The sequence below is a fragment of the Homo sapiens genome, chromosome 13 (assembly GCF_000001405.40).
Source record: "Homo sapiens chromosome 13, GRCh38.p14 Primary Assembly".
NCBI classification, from domain to species: Eukaryota; Metazoa; Chordata; class Mammalia; order Primates; family Hominidae; genus Homo; species Homo sapiens.
The window spans coordinates 74,272,990-74,297,219 of record NC_000013.11 but is presented as its reverse complement, the minus strand read 5'-3'; the positions used below and the strand labels follow the sequence as shown (position 1 = coordinate 74,297,219).

At 38.7% G+C, this 24,230-nt stretch overlaps 1 protein-coding gene, 1 long non-coding RNA gene and 1 pseudogene across 7 annotated transcripts in view, besides 3 other annotated features; 2 read left to right on the top strand and 1 right to left on the bottom strand.

Moving 5' to 3' along the window:
• The window catches only part of LOC105370259 (uncharacterized), a 120,734-nt gene extending 111,584 nt beyond the window's left edge, over positions 1-9,150 (bottom strand). For all 5 annotated transcript variants that reach the window (NR_187795.1, NR_187793.1, NR_187794.1 and 2 more), the window contains exon 1: positions 9,001-9,150. This is a non-coding gene — a long non-coding RNA (uncharacterized LOC105370259). The remainder of the gene's footprint in view (positions 1-9,000) is intronic.
• Positions 1-24,230, top strand: part of KLF12 (KLF transcription factor 12) — a 619,957-nt gene that overhangs the window by 8,826 nt on the left and 586,901 nt on the right. The window lies entirely within an intron of this gene.
• Positions 8,006-8,120, top strand: RNY1P5 (RNY1 pseudogene 5; annotated as a pseudogene).
• Positions 9,214-9,508: an enhancer, noted in NCBI's record as "tiled region #2285; HepG2 Activating DNase matched - State 5:Enh". NCBI's record gives its function as "activates a minimal TATA promoter and a strong SV40 promoter by Sharpr-MPRA in HepG2 cells {active_cell/tissue: HepG2}" and the evidence as "EXISTENCE:reporter gene assay evidence [ECO:0000049][PMID:27701403]".
• Positions 9,831-10,331: an enhancer, noted in NCBI's record as "H3K4me1 hESC enhancer chr13:74861026-74861526 (GRCh37/hg19 assembly coordinates)". NCBI's record gives its function as "activates a minimal SCP1, AML or CMV promoter by ChIP-STARR-seq in primed H9 embryonic stem cells {active_cell/tissue: H9 hESC(primed)}" and the evidence as "EXISTENCE:reporter gene assay evidence [ECO:0000049][PMID:30033119]".
• Positions 10,076-10,135: a silencer, noted in NCBI's record as "silent region_5400". NCBI's record gives its function as "represses an Ori minimal core promoter by ATAC-STARR-seq in GM12878 lymphoblastoid cells {active_cell/tissue: GM12878}" and the evidence as "EXISTENCE:reporter gene assay evidence [ECO:0000049][PMID:35858748]".

The following is a 24,230-nucleotide window of genomic DNA, read 5'->3' as shown; positions in this document are numbered from 1 at the left end:
TCCAGGGATCAATTTCCTGTTTCTGAATAGTCTGGCATATTCTAGCTCTCAATAGGTTCAATAAATACAGAAACCCTATAGGCCCAACTGAATGTCTATGTCTAAGTTTGAGAGGTTTCCAAGAGGTTGATAAGATGAATGAATGAATGAATGACTTTCACTTTGTATTCCAAGAGTCCCCCCCATGAGAACTTTTCTGGCAGTTTATAGTTGCTATGTTACCAAGAGGTTTCAAACATATTTGGGATCACAACTGCTCATCAAGCTACAAATTTGTCATTAATTGCAGATGCAATTAGCTATACAATTACTCTCCAGATCTGTAGGCTCTTGTAGACAAGAGTTCCCTACTAAAAATACCTGGACAGTCTGTTACAAATAGCAGTTCCCAGGACAGGATAACACACAGCAATTTGCATGATTTGCTTGGGGTTTAGCTTGATTTCTTTGAGACTAGAGGAATAAGCTCTCTTATGTGATTTGGTCAAGAAAATTATCTGTGTAAGGATCTCCTGTGCAAGTATTGTATGGTGAAAATGAAAAGTACCTTTGAAAGTCAAAAAGGTATCATTAAAATAGTTTTCTTTCAGGAATAAGATTGCTTCGTGACTTTTTCAAAACAAATAATGAGTGAAAATGAAAGGATTTATGAGGTGTCCAGATTTTAGAATTTTACAGTTCATTAGTTATGTTTTATCTACCTAATAACTATCTCCAACCACTCAAAGATGTGACTATTGCAGACAGTTCTCTTGCCTGCTCCACAAATTTTTCTCTAATAAAGACACTAACCCACACTTTTCATCTATGTTTAAGACGAAACCAGGCTATGGCAGTAGATTGGATGAGATAGTACCACATAGAAGATAAACCTTGGAGTCAGAAAACATAGGTTCAAATCCCCACTCTAACAGTTAAAATTATGTAACTATGCAAGGCTACTTAACTTTTCTGAATGTCAGTTTCTGAATCTGTGAAATAAGTATTATAGCACCTACAACAAAGAATAATCAAGGAATCGGGAAAGATTGTGGACACAAAGCATTTAAAACCAGCCCTGAAAATTAAAAAAAAAAAAAAGTGCTACAAAAATGGGGATTAGGTCAGGCACAGTGGTTTATGCCTGTAATCCCAGCACTTTGGGAGGCTGAGGTGGGTGGATCACCCGAGCTCAGGAGTTCCAGACCTAGACAAAATGATGAAACCCCATCTCTGCTAAAAAATATAAAAAAAAAAAATTTGGTTGGTCAGGGAGGCGCATGTCTATCATCCCTGCTACTCAGGACGCTGAGGTGGGAGGATCGTTTGAGCCTGGGAGGTGGAGGTTGCAGTGAACTGAGATCACGCCACTGTACTCCAGCCTGGGCGACATAGTGAGACCCTGTCTCAAAATAAATAAGTAAATAAATTTTAAAAAGAAAAGAAAATGGAGATCAGTACTCTAAACCACTATTTTTAGTCCAGGAAAGCTTTCAGAATTATTTTTCTCTATATATCATTTCTAGAATATAATATTTGAGCATCCATTTCTTTAAATTACATATATTGATTCTATTATTTTATTAAACAAATGCTTGAATCATTAAGGATCGAAAAATAAGGGAAAGTCCGTTCCACTGAGGGGTCACAATCACGTTGGGGCAACTGCCATGAGCACAAATCATAACAACACACCACAACAGCACATTACAGCAAGTATATTTTGAAAGAGGCATAATCACAGTGGTTTGGGAGGACAAAAAGGAGTGGCAAATTCTGCCCAAGTACAAAGGCTCAGGCTCCTTAGGGAAGAGAGCAAAACCAAGGGGATTTTCTGGGTTGGAGGAGAGAAGGAAGAGTATTTCCACAGATATATTGGGAAAGGAGATGTTCAGTGGGGCTGGAGAATGCGTTATGTGTGGTTTATAGGGAGTGGAGGCAGGACATGAAGAAAGAGGTTCAAAAGAAAGAGGTTAGAAAAGCAAAACTTGGTCAGGCTGGAAAGGAAAGGAAGAGGGAGGAGTAATTAAGCTATCGAACATCTGCTATGGCCATCATACACTAGATGCTTTTACCTACAGTCCTCCATCTAAATCATGACAACACTACCAGATAAGCAGTAGTATCTCCATTTTGCAGATAAGGAAAGTGTGCCTCTCTGAAGTTAAGCAAGTTGCCCAATGTTACATAAAAGGAAATTGAAGGAGTTTGTATTCCAGCCCAATTTTGTCAGGGGACAGAGCCTATGCCAACCTCTATTTTAAGCAAGGGGAGCCAGCAGGGGCCTTTAATCAGGAAAGGAGCTCATCAAAACAATTTTTGAAAGAAAAATAAGGAGATAAAATATGAGATGATGGATTGGAGGGAGGTGCAGCTGGGGCTTGGGAGATAAATCGGAGGTTATTACTGCTTTGCAGGGGAAAAATGAGGAAGGCCTCAGCTGAGGCAGCGCCTGTGGGGATGGAGAAGAGAGAAATATTTCTTAGACTCAAAATGGCTTGGTTACCAATTGGATGTGAATATACCTCAGAACAAAATCTCTTAACACAGTTACAAGAGAATGCATGTGGAAGAGGCCAGGCACAGTGGTTCACGCCTGTAATCTCATCACTTTGGGAGGCCGAGGCGGGTGGATCACAAGGTCAGCAGATCAAGACCATGGTGGTCAACATGGTGAAACCCCATCTCTATTAAAAATACAAAAATTAGCCAGGCATGGTGGCGCGTGCCTGTAATCCCAGCTACTCAGGAGACTGAGACAGGAGTATCACTTGAACCCAGGGGGCAGAGGTTGCAGTGAGCCGAGATCGCACCACCGCACTCCAGCCTGGCCTAAAAAAAAATAGTAAATGACCTCCTTAAAAATTCTCTTATTAATTTGGGGGATTAGAAAACCAAACATGTGACATTATGTCATCTAAACCAGTGCTTCACTTAATGGGTCCGATGTACATGATTTGGATGATGGGTGCCTAAAAGCCCTGACTTCCCTACTACACAATCGGTGCATGTAACAAAATTGCCTTGTACCCAATAAAGTCATACAAATAAAAATAAAAATAAACTCCTGCTACTTACTCAAAGTGTGGTTCACAGACCAGCACATGGCTTCACCTAGAAGTTTTTGGCAATGCCAAATCTCATGCCCTACTCCCGGCATTCTGGAAAAATATGTATTATTTTAATAAGGTCCCTTTGACGGCTTAGTGATTGTAGATACTTTAAAGTTTAAGAAGCACTAATCTAAGACAACTAACATTGAGGGTAGTGGAGGAGTAAGAGGTGAGAGGAGATAGCCAATTTTCTTTAAAAATGGGCTGTACATTCAGAATTTCAATCATGACTCTATACACTTTTAAGAGCATTCTGGTGGTTAGCACTAATTTTATTTCATATTACGTTTACCATGTTCAGAAGTTTCTAGAAAAAGAAGCAGCCACAGGTGCTGACATGGCCAATATACAAAAGGCAGATGCTCCTTCAAATGCAGTGTTTTATAAAAGACTGCCAAAATCCAAGCTATAACTGGATGATTAGGTGGCATTTGAACTGCTCGTTTGGAATGTCAGCAGGGATAATGCTTACGTAAGCTGGATGCCATCTTATATAGTCCTTCAGTTACTGGGAAATAGAAATCCAGAAGAGAATCTATTTTATCATTATGATGGACTGAGAAAGAGAACAGAAAGATCTTAAAATATTCTGTGACACTTCCGTCAGTTCATTTCATACATATGCATATTAATATGTGTGTAGGTGTGTGTAATGTTGAGAATGTCTGGGATTCTTGAATTTACTATTATATCCTGCATTTACTAATCTGATCTCCAATTCTCATTTTTTCAGTCCCTCGATTGTACCCAAAAATTCGTGAGGATCACAGCCAATATGAACAGGTTTTGAGGGAGTTTGAAGGGGGAAAAAATAGTAGACCTCAGAAAGGGTACACCAGCTAAAAATCTTCACCCAGGATTTTCCCTGGAATCTCTTCTGGCCCAGCTTCCCACACCTCATCTACCCTAAAGAGCACTGGCACCCTTTGGGTAAAGAATACTAAAACTGTGTATTCTCATTGTCTTAACATCTCATTCGTATAATGTGATGGGTAAATTGAAATATTTCTGCTTGGCTCAATAAGAAAAGCTCATATACATTCTCAGCTTTGGTATGAGGCAGGGGTGTTCAGAGCCCCTTTCTGGCCATTGCACCTATGTGCCTGTTGTACCCCTGTCCTAAAGAACTTAAGAGTTCCTATTGCTGTCTTCATCAATGCTCATTAACAATGATTTTTAGGAATCTGCTATGTCCAAGCACTTTTCTAGGCTCTGGGCTCAGAAGCAAACAAAGATGCTACTCATGTGGACCTGACATGCTCAAGAGAGCAAAACAGATAATAAACAAATTAAAAATACAACATAAAATCATGTCTAGTGGCAATGGAAAAGCATAACATGGTGTTATGGGAAAGAGAGTCATAGGGAAGCCATTTCAGCCAGGGTGTTAAGTCAGATTTCTCTTGTTAATATTTGAACTGAGACCTGAAGAAAGTGACGAAGGTACACTTGGGAGGGGAAGCATTCCAGGCAAGGGGAGCTGCAAAGTAAAGTCCTCCAGCCAAAACATACTAGGCTTATTTGGGAAGTTGCAAGAAGGTTAGTATGGCCTGGATAGAGTATAGGAGAAAAGGAGTGACAAGAAATGATCAGTAAGGAGACAGGTCATGTAGATTCTGGAAGGACCTTATGGACATAACAAAGTTAAAACCACAAACATACAAAAAAAAAAAAAGAAAAAGAAACCCTTTCATTTACTGAGATAGGCACTATGCTAATAAAACATATATACTTTATTCAGTCTCATTCTCACAATCTTCCCACCCCATACCTGGGTATCATCATTATCCTTCAAGAGAACTGAAGTTTAGATAGATTAATTATAATGATCAAGGTTGCAAAGCTACTAATGGTTGGAGTTGGGATTTGAACTCAGGTCTGTCTGACACCAAAGGCCCTTGTACTCAACACCATGCTGTTACTAGAGAGAGAGCTCTTGAATCAAAATTCACATGCACTTTGTTGGTAGAAATACCAGGAAGTTCAAGTACAGTGGATACAGCTCTAGGTCCTTCTAACTTTAATAGAATGGTAGTCTATTCTCTACTTTTTACTGCAATTAAACTTAACTTTGGTCTCATTTCCCATGCTCTTAACACAGTGAGCATCTCGTTGAATGTCCAATGTCTACAATAATATTGTAAAGCATTTATTTAAACTATAAAATAATCAAATTTTACAACATCTAGCTAACCTGTGATCAGACTCTGCAAACAATAAGTTCTGATACACAGCTGAGAAGACATTTTGATTTCAAAAATAGTTGATATTAGCTACTGAATTTGAGGTATGGGTGCCCAAAATATCTGGTGCTTTCTACCTCTTCCTAATTTACATCATCTTTGCTGATTTGTGTGCCTGCTTTTCCAGATTTCTCTCACTAAGGTGTAGATACATATATGTATATCCAGTCAGGGAGGTCTATTCCATATATAGTCATCCTTTCTCATCTCATTCTCCTACACATGAACACTTTCTAGTCTTTTTCTGCCGGTTAAAATCCAGTTGCTCCTTTAATGCCCTGCCCTTCTCACTGGAGCATTTAATATACAGCCCTGCCTGTGGACTGGATTAACCTTCGCCATATATGTTCTGCTTCGCCAACTGACAATGAACAGACTGACCTTGTTGTCTATATCTCTGAGGATGTGACTTTGCCCAGAGAGCCATGCTTGGGGCCTCACTTGCCACCACAGATGATGAGACTTTTGAGCCTCAGCTTAAGATCACTACCAACACTTCTTCCTGGCCTCCCAATCACACTTGCATCTCATGCTGACCAGAACATTTATTTGAATGTTTCAGTTAGTTGAATAATTCCTAACTCATGCACAACTGATTTATCTAACTGTCAGCTTCATTATAAGGTAGTGTAGTTTTCAAACCTATTTATAGGCATTTCCTCAGAAAAGCCCAGGAATCTGAGTGACCTGAAGCACACATTTAATGGCACAAAACCCTAACTGATTTAAAAATAAAACCCACTTAGGACAAAAATAAACCAGGTAGGTTTTCCCTCCTCCAATGCCCTGTATCCTACAAACTGGTAAATTTTAGATCTAGTTCTTTTTAAGAAAGCTCTGCTCACTGGGGCAAAAAATTGTTGTTGTAGAATAAGTGGAATAAGTTTGTTTTCAGTTAGGCCAGTGGGACAATATTCAGCTAAGCATACTCTTTCTAGAAACACTTCAGTGAAAGTTCTGTCCAACTGTTTGTTTGTTCATTTATTTTAACAAAAAACAGACTTTTCCTATGTTGCGTTTGCTGTGCAAACGGAGCTAGCATCCAATGGCATGTAAATCAGGTATAAATTATAAAGGTTTTTATATTTGTCTTCAGGACAACAACGTTTAAAATACTCTGCCTTCTCCAACAGTTTGTTGAAGTGCAGAAGCTGAAAAAATTCTGGGCTTGTAAAGAAACTGCAATGCCTAAAACTCTCCAGAAGTACTCAGAATGACAGGGCTCTTAACCAATAATACGTGAGATTCACGGAACACATTGTCACTACTCAGCAAATAATAAGAGGCAGGTATAAGTATGACATCATTGAAATACAGTCTCATTGGCGGTTCCTCTGTGTGCTGGTTACTGCTCTATTTGTGGAAGCAGCAGCCTTATTCAAATTAACCTTTTCACGCAGAGGGGTGGAGGGAGGTAGTGAGTAATATGCGGCAGTCTTTTCCCTGAAGGTGATGTGCTCTCAAATTCGCTTTGCATTGCCTTTGAGCAGACAAAATAAAAATAAATTCAGCTGTGGCAGTGTTTCACAGGGATAATAGCTGCTGGAATTAGATCAGGTCAGTGGAAAGGAATGAAAAAGAATCTGTGGCTGAGTTCAAGCAAATTTCTGAATTTTATTCTAGCTTTTATTCTTTCCCCCTTATTATTTCTCCGTGTCTCATTCGTGGTGTCAACGGCTGCAGAGACTAAACTTGGAATCCCTCCAATTGGCCATTTGAGAGGGAAATTTCTTTGAATATTAATACCTCTAGCCCATGCTGTCTGGGGGTCTAGCAGACAGGTCAGATTAATGGATGGTTTTCTGGCATTGTACAAATACTCAGGAGTATGAAGCTGATGAGATAATTTAATCACATTTACTGTAGTCTGTGAGGAACTGTCATCCTGTATCCTGTTACTGTTATATAATATAGGGCCTCCAGCTACATCAAGGATACACAAGAGAGCCCACTCAAGTTTTTAACTCTTAGGATTTTGTTTTAACTTATGAGGGCTCCGATATAAGGTGGCTGTCCTTTAATGATATATCTCTTCCTTTCCCAGTTTAGTTTCTGGGACTTCACACAACTTTGCCTAAATAAAATGCTTTGGGTCTTTGGCCTTATTTTATTTTCTCTCTTTAAACTTCTGTTTCACTGTCTATTGTCATCTGTCAAAATCATTCTATATAGAATGTAAAATTTTGAATCCTGCTGTAGAGTATATTTGCCTTGGTCATTTCCTGTTTGGGGAATTTATTTACATTTTTTCCCTTCCCTTATTACCTATTACTTTCTACCTCAAAATTTCTCTACTTGTCAAAGACAAATAAAATGATGGAAATGACAAAAGAATACAGAATGTTGACTATAAATCTGTCAACTCTGCCATAATATGGAGTTGGGCCGAAATGGCTGTATTTCAGGTAAGAAACAAGTTGCTGCCTGCATGTAGCTAAGCTCTCTCTGCTCCAAACTCAAGATTCCTTGTTCCACTATTGCATGTCCTTAAAGAGGTGTTAACCTCTGAGAGCTTAGAGCTTCCCTTACTACTCCACTGAGAGTATTAATAACCGTGTCACCACACATTAACGACGATGTCACCAGAACGACATGACATTCTCATTTAGTTACCATCCCATTCCATGTCTGTACTTGTATGGCTTCTCTAACTTAAAATTCCTTTTAACTGGCTGGACCAAAGGTAGTGAGTTATCTCAAAATTGATTGTTCGCAGTCAATTACAGATCGAACTCTTTGTTCTACCCTTTCCCCCTTCCTCACTACTGCACTTGACTAGTCTTAAAAAAAATAGAAAAAATATATAAAAATTCCTTTAAGTTTATCTGGGTGTTGTAGCTGTTGTTAGGTTCTAAATAAAGCTATAAATATTCAGAAAATAGTAGCTTAGATGAGGATGGTTCGGCTACTACGTTTTCATCACTGCTATTCCTTAAAGTGAATAAATAATGCAAGAGAAGCTTGAATGCAGAGGAGTGCCAGGAAGCTTGTTGACCAGTGGGGAGCAGGTGCTGACTGGGGAGACTGACAGAACAGAGGCAGGAAGGGTGAGGCTCTACTCCCCTAGTGCTGCATGACCGGCCCTGCCGCCACCCTGCCAGTTTTCAGCCAAGGATCACTGTTCAGCTCTTTTCTGGGTAGCTGCCAAAATCCCACCAACAAGTTGTCTAGAGCGGCTTTTAGCACAGCTCTCTGTATGCCGCTGAAACCCACCAGTCTAGGCTGCGGAGGCTTCCATTTCTTGACTCTTCACGGTTTTCTGCCTAATCCTAGCCCTTCCTTTGAAATCAGACTGTTTCCTGCCCTACCTTGGCAAACCACTCCCCACCCTGTTGAGAGGAGTGCAGAAGTTGCTGATTTGACCTGGAGCACCCCACATTTTCAGCTCATTCTGCCTGAATGCCGCATTGTTCCTGTGCTGAATGAAGTTTTGGAAAATGACTTTCAGATGTTAGAGAGTCCCACTCTGCTGCTGTTTTACCCCGTTACCTCGCTTGTCTGCCGTTTATAATCCCATAAAACTCATCGTCTGTGTTTGGCTCTGGACAAAAATGAAAAGACTCATAAAATAGCATCTTAGATGAGCTGGACTGATATAGAGTTGAAATGCTTCAGCTTAAGACCACTACCGAATAATTTAATTATTTGCCTTCCACTAGACTTACCTCTTTAGTTTGTCTGTTTGCTTCTTTTGCGGTAACTCTCAAATCCATTGGGTTATTTTAGTCAGTGCCCACAAATTACTGTGACCCTTTTTATCTGAACTCTGATCAGAAAGCCGCCTAGTTCTCCCCAGTTTTTTTTTCCTTCCCCCCTTCAAACCAGAAAAGTAGCTGCTGAAAGCAGAACAGTTGCCATGGCAACCCCTTGGCAGCTTCCTCAGCGAGTAACAGTGTTGATTTCCCTGGGCCGGGTGGGAGGGGGGTGGAGCTCTAAGGAGGTAAAGGAAGGTTACTGTGCACTTAGTTAATATGCAAAACCACTTACGCAGTGCTGGATGAGCAGTGAATAAATGCAAACAAAGCCATGCTTGATCAGCTAACATGGACTTTGCACACAAGTTGCTCTGTCCAAGGATGCAGATGTTGGCTCAGAAAGAAATTGTGCAATTGGACAGTAGAGGACACAAGAGGTCATACTACAAGAGGTTAAACACTATTTTTGTAATGGTTGGTGAATATGAAGGAAATAAACCGAAGCAGGGGTGTAATTGCCTTGCTTCTCTTTGCTTTGTTCAAAGAAAAACATAGCAATCTAAATCACAGGGATGGTGTTTTCCCTGAAAATCTAACATACTGAAGTTCAAGTTTGCATCAATTAAACTCTATGTAAGATAAACCAATATGTTCAGATATAAGCAAGTATAGCATAATTTGGTTTGTGCTTGAACAAAACATACGGCTCAAGTAGCATCTTTCACCTCCGAGTTTTCAGACAAAGAAGCAGCTTAGTAAATTGGGGCTGGGGTTGGGGGTGGATAGAGGTGGATTCTCTCTCTCTCTCTCTCTCTCTCTCTCTCTCTCTCTCTCTCTCTCAACTTTGATAGATCCCTGTTTGTTTCTTGGGGCCTGGACAGGTTGGAAATCATTTCCCCGAGAGAGCACTGGGGAGACTCTGGCACACGATTCTGCCGACAGAGGTCACCTGCATGAGCAATGAGCAGACGGGCTGCAAGCTGTGGAAGCGGCAGCCAGCCCCTTACCTAGTGGCCTGCAGCTTTGCATGCTAAGGAAGAGGTAGGCTGATGGAAAGCCTGCAGCAGTGAGCCGAGGTCTGCCCAGCAGGTGTCACTAGGGACTTAAAGCTTACCAGACCTTTGGGACCAGGGCTAGGAAAGAGCCATGTAATGATTTATAAAGCTTACTTTAAAATATTTTTGAGAGGCTATATGTGAAATAATTCTGAGGCTTTCTCCTTCAAAGGGACATGAAAATGATAGCTACAGCTTGGTTTAAATGATTTCTGGACTATTCTTTCCAAGGCTCTACCTCCATTTACTGAGTCCCCATTCCAAAAACCAGACAGAGACATAAAACTCATGGAAGGCACACTGAATCCATTCACGATGAGAAAATACATGTGCAAAGCCACAGCAAGTGCATAAAATTATTATGATGATGAAGATCTCTGCTTACAAAATCAGCCTCCATGTCCTAACACCACAGATGCTGATTTTGTAAGTCATCTCAGGATTAAGATCAGAGCTCACTTTAAAAATGCAAATTACCTAGGAGTCCCTGTAAACGTGATGTCAGCTTGTATTTTATCAGTGCTAACAATTTTTTAACAAACCCATATGAAGGCTATCCCTACTTTTAAAAAAAGACTGCATGGATGGTATTACCTGCCTTCTAATTTATGCACCAAGAATGTGCATATGAAAATTTTTTCTAACAATTACATTAGAGAAAATTTGTCTATCCTGAATACGCTTTTTACTGTTTCCCTTTTCATCTTGTCTTCCTGGAAGCTCAATATTTTGAAATGTCATGAATTTCAGTTGCTTCCCTAGCTTAGATTTTCTTCTATAATTTCTCCATCCATCCTGTGTTATTTGAATAGTGACATCCTACCTTGTTTTAATCATATTACAGTTTTAACACATTTGTACTTTTATCTGTACTTTTCGTTGTATACATTACCTCACATCCATTTCAGTGTGGCACACCCTCTTAGAAAGAAGAGAAGAAAGGAAAGGAGAGACAGAAGAGAAAGAGAGAGAAAAAAAGAAGAGGTAAAATGACCCTGCTATCAACATTCAGCATTTTATGATGAATTTGTTCATCATGTTTATCTTCAGTTATCCTTTGGAAGATAGAAAGAGTGAGCTAAGAGTAGTGGTTGGGGAGAGGGTAGTCCTAATTTTGTGTGTGTATGGGAGGATTTCTTGTGCCTAAAAAGACAACTTGAGCACTCAGGGCCTGTGAAATACTGTAGGAAGAGATAGGAGAGTAGAAGCTGGAAACAGAGGTATGAGCCTGGAAAAGAAGTGCATTGGCTTCAGGGCTTGGCTGAGAATTATTAGAAAAATGCTTATACCTCTTTTAGAGCATGTTACAAAGCATGATTAGGTGCACTTTTACCTTGCAATCTCAATAAAATATTTATCAAATAGATATAATCCTTCCCATTTCACAGATGAAAGAAACTGAGCCTCAGGGATGTTGTCATGTAATCACCTGCCATTGTGTAACAGAACCAGGACTAGAAACCAGGTACTCTGCTTGCATTTCTGCTATGGATGGTAACTACAGATGGGGAAGAATGAAAGAAAATCACAGGGAGTATAGGGAAATTATGCAAATAATCCTATGTTTTCTATTCTTTCTCCTGGGGATGCCCCATCACACAATACCACCAAGGATGCTCCCACAAATGAAAACGTCAGTCTGCAGTTATGCAATTGTGGCAGAATTTTATTAAGAGCTTAGTCGGCCATTATACTTCTTTCTGTTTTATGAGAGAAATGATAAATGACTTTAGCAGTATTGATGTCTACAGGCCTATTTTCTAACCGCAACTCTAGCCATTTCTCTAATCGCTTAACTAATATTGTTTTAACGCCAGCTATTGTTATTATGCATTATTAATAAAAGACCACCATTACTATTAATATCACTTATGAAAGATTCCATAAAGAGCTTTGAGACTGCAGATGCAATTAACAAGAAGCCAAATTCTCCATGGTGTAAAAAAAAAAAAAATCAGGTAGGGCTGGCTATAGGCATTTGATCTTATTTAAGTGTTCTAAGGGGTTGTAAGTGAATTTCACATGCCCACAAGAAAAACCATGTGCCCTATGAAGATCAATTCATGCAGTTACTTGTCCTCCTCCATACAAGAGAAATTTGATGAGTTAAAAGAAACTTTCATAAACCTCCAATCTCAAGGCCATGACAGTGGAAATTATTAGCTCACAGTTAAAGGAGCTCATACTTACCCAAAAGGCCCTACTTATAATGGGTGGGAAAAAAAACATATTTACACTTTCAAATAGGATATGGGATGTTGCATAAGTGAGAATGTTGTCGTAATTCTATACCGTAGTGTAAATATACTACAATGCCCATAATTTTCATGGACTTCATAGTATATATGAAAGCTGAGAACATGCACAGAAATCCCTCTCGCATGTCCTCCCTTCACTGACATTCCCATTGAAAAGCCCTCCTCTCACCTCCAAAGCCACCATTGCCCACCAGGCTTAGAGCCATTGGATCTGTCTGTCATTTTGTCAGGGAGCCATGAATTAGAAGCAAGTTGAGCACAGCCAGAAGGAACTGGGCCTTAGCTTCTGACTCTACTACTCCATAAAGGAAGACTGGACTGCCTTCAAGGTAAAGATGTGGTTCTGCACTGTAACAGAGGGATCACCTTAGCAGAGTGGGCCAATGGACTCACCATCCTGAGGAGTCCTGTGTTGCACAAAAATCATCACACTGTTTTACATTTGTTCTTTGAGAAGGAAGCTTATACCACAGTAGCTGAGGATCACATTCTGAATAACACTCTCACGTCCCCCTTCAAGACTTTTTGTTTCTGAGTTTGTCTTAAGGAATTGAGAACCCCTGATTTTTCACCTGGCATTCAGCCTCTCTCTAAGATTAAAAGGCCTGGGTCAGCTGGATGAGCTGAGGGCATTAAGGGTGGGTCCACTCACTATAAGATCATAGATATACCTGGAAATTTTCAAGGACTCCAAGGAACTTATAAGACTTATACACACTAGGCCGGGCATGGTGGCTCATGCCTGTAATCTCAGAACTTCAGGAGGCCGAGGCAGGTGGATCACAAGGTCAGGAGATCCAGACCATCCTGGCTAACACGGTGAAACTCCATCTCTACTAAAAATACAAAAAATTAGCCGGGCATGGAGGTGGGTGCCTGTAATCCCAGCTACGGGAGGCTGAGGTAGGAGAATGGCATGAACCCAGGAGGCGGAGCTTGCAGTGAGCCGAGATCCTGTCACTGCACTCCAGCCTGGGTGACAGAGCAAGACTCTATCTTGGGGAAAAAAAAAAAAAAAGATTTATACATACTTATGGATGATACTTTTGCCAAAAGCCTCAGTCTCAGTGAAATAGTAATAATCATGTATTTTTTCTAGAAATGCATAGGGTTTAATTCTTTAAGAGTTCATAATTTAATCTCACATCGGTCAGGTGAGTATCATTATCCTCATTTTAACAGAAGTAGAAACTGAGACACAAGGGCTGAGAGTACTGAAAGTTATGGAATAAGGAATGAAAAATTCTAAATACAGCCCCAATTCCCCTGACTTCCAATCTAATGCTTGGTCTGCCCACTAGTGCATACTGTTTCATTAATTAGGAAAAGCTCAAAATCCCTGTAAAGGAGTATCTGCATGGAATGTAGTGGGTATCTTTAGTTTATACCCTGTCTAGATGAATTGATTTTTCTGTTTTATTAACATGAAACTCTTGGGTTATTCCATTGGACTTATTCACATTTGTATGTGTTTTACTATTTTCCAAATTATGGCTCAGCATGTAATAGAAATGGGATTTTTGCAGAAGTTTTGGATTATGCTATTAATGTCTTCCTAGTATTTTTAGTAATCAAAGGAAAGCATCTTACTTGCATTAGAATATTCATGAAGTAAACGTTGAAAATATATAGCAAGTATTAAAACAATATAGTCTGAATTTTTGGAAGACATTTTCAAACTGGCTTAGATGATTTGCTCAGAAAAGACTCTTCGGTGAAGTTTGCAGTCTACATTTCCTCTGGTTTCTCCAATTTGGTAGGTTGGAAACTCATGTGCATATTGTTTGTTTTTAAGGTAGAGAAATATTGTGAATTTTATGTCTTTTTTGGACACTTTTTAACATTCTTGCTACATCATTACAATATGTCATAAAGAATTGAGACACATTTGTGTTTTGCTACAATAAAATCTATCAACACATTGAAAATCAAAATATGAGCATAGAGAAAATAGAACACTAGGAGGTTAGAATCATAAAATACTTCATGAATCATGTAGCCAGTATATAACCAGGGGGGGAAACTGAGACTCACGTAAGTTAAGTGCCTTGCCCTAAGTCACACGGCATTCATTAATAGAACTGAAACCGTAATAGAGGTCCCCAACCTCTGAGACCCATCCCTATTTCATTACCCTTTCTATTCAGTTTTGGTTCTTTGGTTCAAATTTCTATTCCTTGGTTTGCTCTTTCTTCTTCCCTGAAGTTATTATTTCCATACTTCCTTTTCTGCACATGCTGTTGTGCAGTCACCCATAGATCTGAATTTCCATCACACAGCCTCTCAGGAGGTGCGTCCCCATCACACTGAGACCATGCTGGTGTGAAAAGATCTTAACATCATCACCCTATAGCCCTAGGGAACTTCAGACCATTAACATGCTTCACCCTCTCAGTTCCCACCCCTGCAGGGTGAATCCACAGAAAACACTGAAAATAGTGGGTGGTATTAACATAGAGGAAATACACAGATCCAATCACCAAGATTCATAAACCATGTATGTGGCAAGGAAGAGGACTGGATTTAAAAGTCTTGCAAGCAAGGCATCATCTTAATCACATACTACCTGCTTAAGTGTGCAGAATCTTCAGACTGAATTTTCTGCTAAGCTGTGAGCTCTGAAGATGAATATTAAATTAGAATTTGGGAAGGAAAATATGCCCTCCTTCACAGAAAAGCACTTTTATTTTAACATTTAATAATGAAGCTGCCCCACAGAGGAGCCTGGAGCTTGTTGCCACTAGAAACTGAGTCATACTTTCTAGGGCTATGGTCAAATTGCAAGTCCCACTCCCACCTTCCCCTAAACTCCTCCGGTAATTGACTGACCTTACTAAGGTTGACTGAGCTGAACTTTCAGATGATCCCTGGTGTTTGGGGGCTAAGCTGTGCTTCTGAAGGTGCTCCTGAGGAAGAGGATATTATTTGTGAATGCAGAAGGGAGCCCTCTCCGATAAGAATTTCCAAGGAAATCTCCCTTACAGAAGCTAGCAATGTTGAGTAGAAACAATTTTACATCTACCTGAAGAAAATGTCAACACAGTTTCCATTTATTTCAAACTATTGTGAGAGATATTGAATTATTGTGCAAGAAAAATATCCACCCCATACCCACAGAGAAGATTGCAACAATCTTCCAAAATGGAGAATGTCTTGTAACCAAGCACATAGATCAAAAAATGATTTATGTGAGCCACTGAATTTGTACATATTTTGATGTTATTCATTCTATAGCCTTATTCCATTACCTTGACAGAAGAAAATGTGTATCTGTTTCTAAACTTAGATTCTAACTGATTTTTAAAATGTATTTATAGCTTTGACATAGTTGAAAGCAATTAATGTACCTTACAATAAAATATATACCCTAGTACTTACTTTATCCCTATTTCTCTAAGAACTGGTTTTCTTTGATTAATAACTCCATGCCATATCTAATTTTTAAATGCCTTGCATCCACACTTATCACACCAAAATACTTTAACATTCTTTAAGTCTTAATTCTTATCTCCTCAAGGTTTTGCGGGAAAGAGGGACAGGAATAACCTTTCACCTTTGTCTCTGATGACAGTCAGTGCAAAACTACTTCATCATCCCAGCAGGGAAGGCCAATACATTCCCAGCAAGTATAATTTCTACCAGAACAACTCATGAAATGTGGTAAGAAATAGTGTGTGGGTGTCTTAAGATAATACTTTTTAAAAAAAAATAGAGAAGAGAGTTTTAAAAATCATTCTTTTTAAAATGAGATCTAAAAGGGGGAAGATGAAAGAAAAATGTGCAGAAAAATAAAATACAACAAAGTATAGATATTATATACAAGACCATGGGAGTTATAAGTCTAGGAGAAGCATAAGAACCCATTAGTAATGGATTACAAATAGTTTTCACCCCACTGTAAAGTAGTTGTGGGAGAGAGTATCAGACATATCAAAAGTAGTGGCTATCTGATTGTGGTTCCAGATAAGGTTAGTATATTCTTGAGTTTGTTTTCCTCCCTTTTTCTGTGCCAGTTTTTATGGCACAGTCCTTGGCAAAAAAAAAAAAAAAAGAAAAAAGAAAAAAAAGATGAGTATGGTGTAGTTTCTACATACAGTTCGTCATCTGTTAGGGAAAAGGGTAGATAGAAAAATTCACGAAACAGTATTTGCTATGATTTTCACAGGGTGGTGGAAAACCAAAGGTTCTTTCACTGCTCTGACTCCATCCACAAGGGTACACCACGAGGGTACTTTCTACCACCAACTTGCAGAAAACTAGAGAATGTGACCAGAGATCATGTTTTGATCCCAAGATGGGTTTCCCCATTGGGTCTCTTTCATTAGCCTCCCTGACTACTGACAAAGTTGCACAGTTTTCACCACCATGAGAAACAATCTGTGTATAGATGTGTAAATTTCCAGTGTGTATTTTTATATGGCTTAAGGGTAAATCAGATAATAAGGCAAGCTCACTTCCCTGACCACACCTTTACTCAGAAGTCTAAGGAACAGACTGTTTAACCTGTTTCCAGTGGTTTCAGGGACTTCTGTATTGGGTGTAGCAAGGACAAAACTGGTCATTACACTCTACCCAAAAAGATCATTAGACCATATCAGGTTGCAGTCATGCTTTTGGAAACTTGGACATGTTTCTTAACTTCTCTGAGCAACTGTGTCCTAATGTGTAAAGGAGATATGAGACTGGCTTGCAGCATTGTTGTGAGGATTGGTAATTATTTATGTGACAATAGAATTTAATAGATGATAACAATTATTAATATGCTCACCAACCACTCAGGATAAATTTTAAAAGGAAGGTTTGTAAGCCCATTTGCAACCCTAAGGATATGCTACAGAGGCTGCTAACAAGAAATATTACTAAAATCTCTTCCTTGTCCCATTGTCCAGACCAAAGTTATTCAACACTTCTGGTCCTCTGTGCTTAAGATAACATTCTTGTGCATCCCTCTGCTCTTAGAGACTTTCACCTTCTCTCATAAATTTGCCCAAGACTTAGATCCCCTTTAACCATGAGAATAAGTCAAAACTTTTTAACATGGAACTTGAGGGTCCTTAAAATCTCAAATCAAACTAGTTTAACAACACTTGACAATGTCCATTATGTACTCCGTGCTCTTTTTCTATTGAGTCCACTATGGGACAACCACCTGATGTGTTTTCCTGTACCACATGTTTTTTGTTCAAGCTAAACTCCAAAACTGACATGTGTTTTACCATTTTGTTCATTGGTTACAGAACTGATGTTCCCATTACTGTGCTTAACATGCTGATTCAGTTCAACACTTTACTGTGCTGAATTAAGTTTAGCCCTTAATATATTCCTCAAAGAGCACTTATGACTAAAAAAAAAAAAAATGAACAAAATTTCTGTTTATTTCAAACCATTGTGAGAGATACTAAATTGTTGTGCAGAAAAAAAAAATTTTTCTTACCCACCAAAAGTTAAACCACACTTTGCCAATATGCATGGTTAGTTTTGGGGAGTTACATAACATTTCTTCCATTTAGGGTGGAAGTCATAGAAGTCAGAATGTAAAATACTTTACATTCAGGATAGAAGGCCAAGAGTCTAAGTACAAAGATCAGAGCCAAATGCATTACTTTTAGAAAGAGCTGTCTAGCATCAACTAAATTAAAGTGCACAGTGGGGCTTCCTACGTCCCATTATGGTTTAATATCCCAGTGCTGTGATGGAAGAGACTCTCCCCCAGGGGATTTTAAGCACAGGTATGTCCAAGAGGGAAAGAATGAGTCTAGAACCTGTTTGGGCAGAGTAATATGACCCACTAGTACATGGATGTAGTCAAAGGATACGGGCTGTCTCCAGTTTCACTAGAGTTGATACTGCCAGAGCTTCTTGGGTAACCATGGGAAAAGATGTATTACCTCTTCCTGGCAAAAGTAGCCAAAGTCATCTCCCCACCATGGAAAGTGGTGGGGTATCTTCTTATTGAATAAGAGGAGCCAGAGAATCAACATTCCTTAACAGTTCCTTAATTAGTGTTCTTAACAGTGACACTATAACTGGATATTAACATAAGATCTTCTCTCTGTTTTGGCTGAGGCCTGAAACTAATAGATGCTACATTTCAAAATGAGATTTGAAAAATATCCCATGGCAGAAAATTAATTTTGCAGCTTCTGAGATAGTAGCCCTCCTTTAAAAAGTTAGGAAAAGGTGAGAAAAGGCAGCGGGTGGAGATTGAGGAGGATTTTTGGAGACAGCTATTGGAGCGCAATGTGGTCCTCACTCTCTGCCTCAAGTCAAAAGAGGGGGTTTTTAAGGAACAACCACGAGGATTTAATATGTGTCCTTGGCTGTTTGGAGGACACTGTGGACTGGTGCCTTGATTCTAGCTTGGAAAACCTAAAATGCAAAACCTAGGCTGACAGATTCCCTTGTGGAAGAAGGAAAGAGAGTTGTTGCTGAATTGGGATCAGTATGTAGACAAAGAATTTAGATGGAGATAAGGAGAGGGCCATGTCGGTGATGAACACATGACAGTTTCCACTGGGCCAGATATGGCCTAATAAGTGAAAAAGCTGTTGTTTCTGGTCATCTTACATCCTGATCCAGAAAACTACCTGAAGTAGGAATAGACCTCACCAGAGATAAACTGGCAGCTGTCACCAGATTCCTAGGGCTGAGGTAGCAGGAAATAATCAGCCCAAATAGAAATAGAAATCATCAGAAATTGGTTGGGGCAAGGGAGGGGATGCTGGGAAAGTTGGGAAGCCAGAGGTGGTGGACGTCTCAAAGAACTCGTGAGAGCACCTGTAAGAGAACACGTCCAGATTAAACACACATCAGGACCAGAGAACAGCACCACCCAACCCACAATACTACCAGGCATGTAAGATACAGCTTGCCCCAACCTATCTCTCCTCCTACCCTTGTCTCCATCAGCTCTAACCCTGAAGGGAAAAGAAAATTTCACTAATAGGAGCATGTGGAAAGGTAGATGTGCTTGGCAGAGTAGAAGAAGCCAACTACTCTCCATCCTTTGGGCTCAGGCTTCCAACCTGAAATGTGTCTGAGCACCTATGGGAGATGCCTCAACTGGACAGCAAGACTGACCTTGTGACATCCCATGGGACAGGACATTCTAATTATTAAATTGAGAGAGAGAGTTTTGTGCCCTAAGAACAAATTTTTAAAGTCACAGCTCCTGCCTAAGTTTTCATCCAGGGAAAGGGGAAGGAATAGCCCTATAGAATTCATTGTAAGAGGCTCTGGGAAATAATCTATAATTGCTTTATGATTACCGCCCCTGAGCCATGTTTATTTCCATATAATACTAACAGTTATTTTCACATGCCTCTCTGCCCACTCTGGTATCACTGATGGCAGCTACTCTGTCTTATTCATTTTTGTATTCTGAGTATCTAGTCTATTAACTGGCACATGGCATTAAACACTTACTGAATAATACAGAAGGGAATACCGTGACTACCAGGGAAGACATAAAGAGATTTACAAGTGTCTGAATGAGGGAGGAACCACATCCTGTTGGGCAGGTCAAGAAGACTTCACAAACATGGTCAAACATGATATGGGCCATGTGCATTCCACCAGGTACCTATTTAGACCAACAAATTCAAGAAAGATATAGTAGCAGAAGAGAAAGTGCAGAGATGAGGTGATCCAGTAGCCTCCAGAAACGAAAGCAATAGCTACACTGCAGATGGCAATGTGAAGACATGTATAATATAATCATTTGATAGTAAAAGAGAATAGGGAGCAAGAGGAGAACCAGAATGAGATTGAATGAGATTTGAAAGGCCAAGGCCATCAGGCTATTGGCAGATCCCAAGACAGAAACAGATGAAGCTGATTTGAGAAGAGTAGACCAAGAAACATACCAGAGGCCCATCAAGGGCACTGCCGTGGGCATTGTCCAGAGGATCCTGCTAAATCAATGGGCAGAAGTGGGTACCTGAAGTTTATAGAGTCACTTTATTTTCTAGACCTGAAAGAACTTTGCTTCTCCAATCATCTATTGCAAGCAAAAGATAATCAGCTCACTCTGAAAGCAGGAGTTAAAGGTAAAACCATGAGAACAAAAGACTAGGTTCAAGTATGGAGAAGAGAACTGGAAGATAGTGAAAACGGGGTAGCCTGACAGATGGGTTTGGCTGAGTCAAACAAACTGGGTTAAATAAGATGAAGAGTTGCCTGTCCTGTATCCTGTATAGAAAAACACAAGTCATTTGTAGGAAGGCTTATTAGGAAGACAACTTACTTTTTATAATGCTGAAATCAGGTTAAGATAAATATTAAGGTATCTTCAAACCACAGAATAAACTTATAAAATAAGAAGAAATGTGCAAAATTTAGATGTGGTAAATTGTGAAACTTTACTAAATAAATAAGGCTTCATTACTGGAAGATGGTATAGTATATATTTCAATTCCTGTTCAAAATAATGTGCATAATTTATCCAAACCCCCAAAGTGAATGGAATTTTTAAAATTTGATCGTATTACAATTTATATGACTTTGGGAGGCCAAGGTAGAAGGATTGCTTGAGGCCAGGAGTTGAAGATCAGCCTGTACAACATAGTGAGAACCCATCTCTACAAAAAATTTAGAAATTAGCCAGGCATATCATTCTCAGCAAACTAACACAGGAACAGAAAACCAAACACCACATGTTCTTACTTATAAGTGGGAGTTGAACAATGAGAACACATGGACACAGGGAGGGGAACATCACACACTGGGGCCTGTTGGGGAGTAGGGAGCAAGGGGAGGGAGAGCATTAGGACAAATACTTAATCCATGCGGGGCTTAAAACCTAGATGACGGGTTGATGGGTGCAGCAAACCACCACGGCATATGTATGCCTATGTAAGAAACCTGCACGTTCTGCACATATATATATATCCCAGGACTTAAAGTAAAGTAAAAATAAGAAATAAATAAAAGTAATAGAGCAAATGAAGAAAGAAAGAAAGAAAGAAAGAAAGAAAGAAAGAAAGAAAGAAAGAAAGAAGAAAGAAAGATAGAAAGAAAGAAAGAAAGAAAGAAAGAAAGAAAGAAAGAAAGAAAGAAAGAAAGAAAGAAGGAAAGAAAGAAAGAAAGAAAGAAAGAAAAAGACAGGCATAATGGCGTGCACCTATAGTCTGATTGCAGGCAACGGAGTGAGACCCTGTGTCTAGAAAAAAAAAAAAGGTTATATACAAACAAAAATACCCAAAAAGAGGCAGGAAAGTTTTGATAAAAAAGTAGTAACAAGGAATCTGTCCAACTACATTTTAAATATATTTTAAGATACAATAATTAAACCATACTGTATTTATGCAAGAAAAATTCTGGAGACTAAAGCAAGCAAAGTGAAAATTCAACACATATATTAACTCTACATAAGAATTTAATAATTTATGCAAGTTGCATTTTTAAAAGCAAGCTTCTATCTCTAGGAAAAATTTGATTATTCAACATGTAGTTTGAAAGCAACTAGTTAGACTATAACGGAATATAGAATTGTTCTGTTAAGATGAAAGTCAGGTCACATGACTTATTTGCTTAAAACCCTCCAATGGTTCCCCGTATCTCTCAGAGTAAAGGATTCATAGTGACATTGGAAAGCCTAAACATCGTGACACATATTTTCTCCCTGACTTCATTTTGTACTGCTCTGCCCCACCAATCACTCCGCCTCACACACACTGACCTCCTTACTGGTCTGCAAACAACACATAAAAGTTCAAATTACAAGGCTTTCATATTTGTGGTTCCCTTTGCTTTGAACAATTTCCCCCAAAATCCTCACATGGCTCTCTCCATGTCTCCTTCAGATCTTTGCTCAAATGTCACCTTCTCAGTGCCTTGCTTCACTAAAAGTATGAAAGTACTAAGAAAGAAAATATAAGTGAGTCTGTAATCTTGGGGTGTAAACAGGCTCCTTAACCAAGACTCACAGATTGCTGATTAATAAATTTTACCACACAAAAATTTAAAACATCCAAATATGACAAATGGAATTTAAAAAATTGATGAAGTGGGAGAAATATATTTGTAACATGTGCCAAAGTATAATTTATTTCCTATGAAAAACTATGACATGTAAGAGGAATAACAATGTAACAATGGGTAAAGGAATGGAAAAGAAAATGCTTACACATACATAAAGACAGATCACCAACATGCATGAAAAATATTCAACTTCAATTATAAAAAAAAAAAGAAGTGAAAAATAAAGGAATGAGCCGCCAAACTAGCAAAGAAAAAAGAATGGTAATATACAACATTGGCATGAGTGAGAAGAAAGAGACTTCTTTCTTTTTCCCCACACAGCCACCAGATACATAAATAAGTAAAATCTTATTACTCAAGAGTAAGTTGGCAATATGAATAAAAATATTTAAAATATGCTTACCTTTTGACCCAGGAATTTCACTTCTGAAAATTGGTCATAAGGAAATAATTAGGAACAGGTGGAAAGATTTAACTACAAAATATAATAAAATGGTAATGTGCGATCTTAGAGGTAATAAGTAATGTAAGAAGAAGCACTGCAATATTTTTCTCTTGTTGATGAGGACAGAGAAAGAAGACGTATGAGCTGATTATATGTAAATAAGCCTTAGGTCTTTTTTTTAAGTGCCATCTGGAAGTGGCAGTTGTATTGCATCTTCACTAAGGCTAGGAGAGGAAGTAGTGGGCTTAAGCTTCAACATAGGGATTTAGGTTAAATATAAGAAAAGTATTTCCTTACCAGAAGATTTGTAAACATTGGTATTGAGTGAAGAGGGAGGTGGTATAATCACATTCCCTGGAAGATTTTCCTGCAGAATAGATTTTTATCAAATTAAGATGATTTTCGGTGCATGCCTCAAGAGGCAGAGTTTGGTGTCTTAAGTTCATGTGCCAGTCTTCTATTTTTAATTACACTATGATGTTTGATCACTGCATTTGTGCACTGTGTGGCATGGGTTCATAGTAGAGTAACTGTCACTTCATCTCATTAAAATAATACTTCGTATTATTCTTTATTACCCAAATGAAATAGGTTTCTCAGTAAGAATTAGGGTGGAAGACTGTCTTCAACCCACCAGCTGCCATGCATTATGTAATCCTTGTACTATTTGAACTCCTTTGGGTGATCTTGGCTTTTCCCAGAAAGCTGTGAGTCTGAAACCAATTTATCAACTCTCTAAAAAGCCAAAAATATTCCAAGTCCACTTCTCAGTTACAGTAGAAACAAGCTTTCTACTTTGCATAACTCATTCAGGTTTATTATGATTATTAATTTTATTATGGTATTTTTACTGAGTATTGCAGACTAAGATTACAGCAAATATTAAGCACAATTCTATTAGAGTATAACAGAATTGCACACAACCATTGCAAAATTCTAATATAAAGGGAAAACTTCACAAATATGGAAAAAAGATTTGTACATGCTCCAGAAAAAAAAAAAGCTGGATATAAAAACTATTACAGGAATAGATTAACATTAAGTCAATTCTAATCATTTTTCAAGGCAGCACAGATACACTTACCAAAGGAAAAAAATGAGCCCAAGGAGAAAAGAATATAAATTGCTTATATGGAAATTAGAAGGGATATTACTCTATTATTTACAGCTTAAAGAATCACATTTTCATATTCAATAAACTTCAAATATCCTCATATTTCAAACAAACAAAATCTGGCATTGTTTCTGTAGTTGCATCATAACTATATGCCACAAAATAAGGAATTCTGTAATGACTTCTTCACGATTATTTCTATGTTTAGATTTTTCTGAGCAGGAAAGGAAAAACTAAAATAAGCACTATTTGAAAGGATACTAGTAGAGCACACCCCTACCAAAAGGAAAAGAAGATGGCATTTGTGGTTTCCACAGCCCATTTGACCCAGTTTGCTTAATTTATTT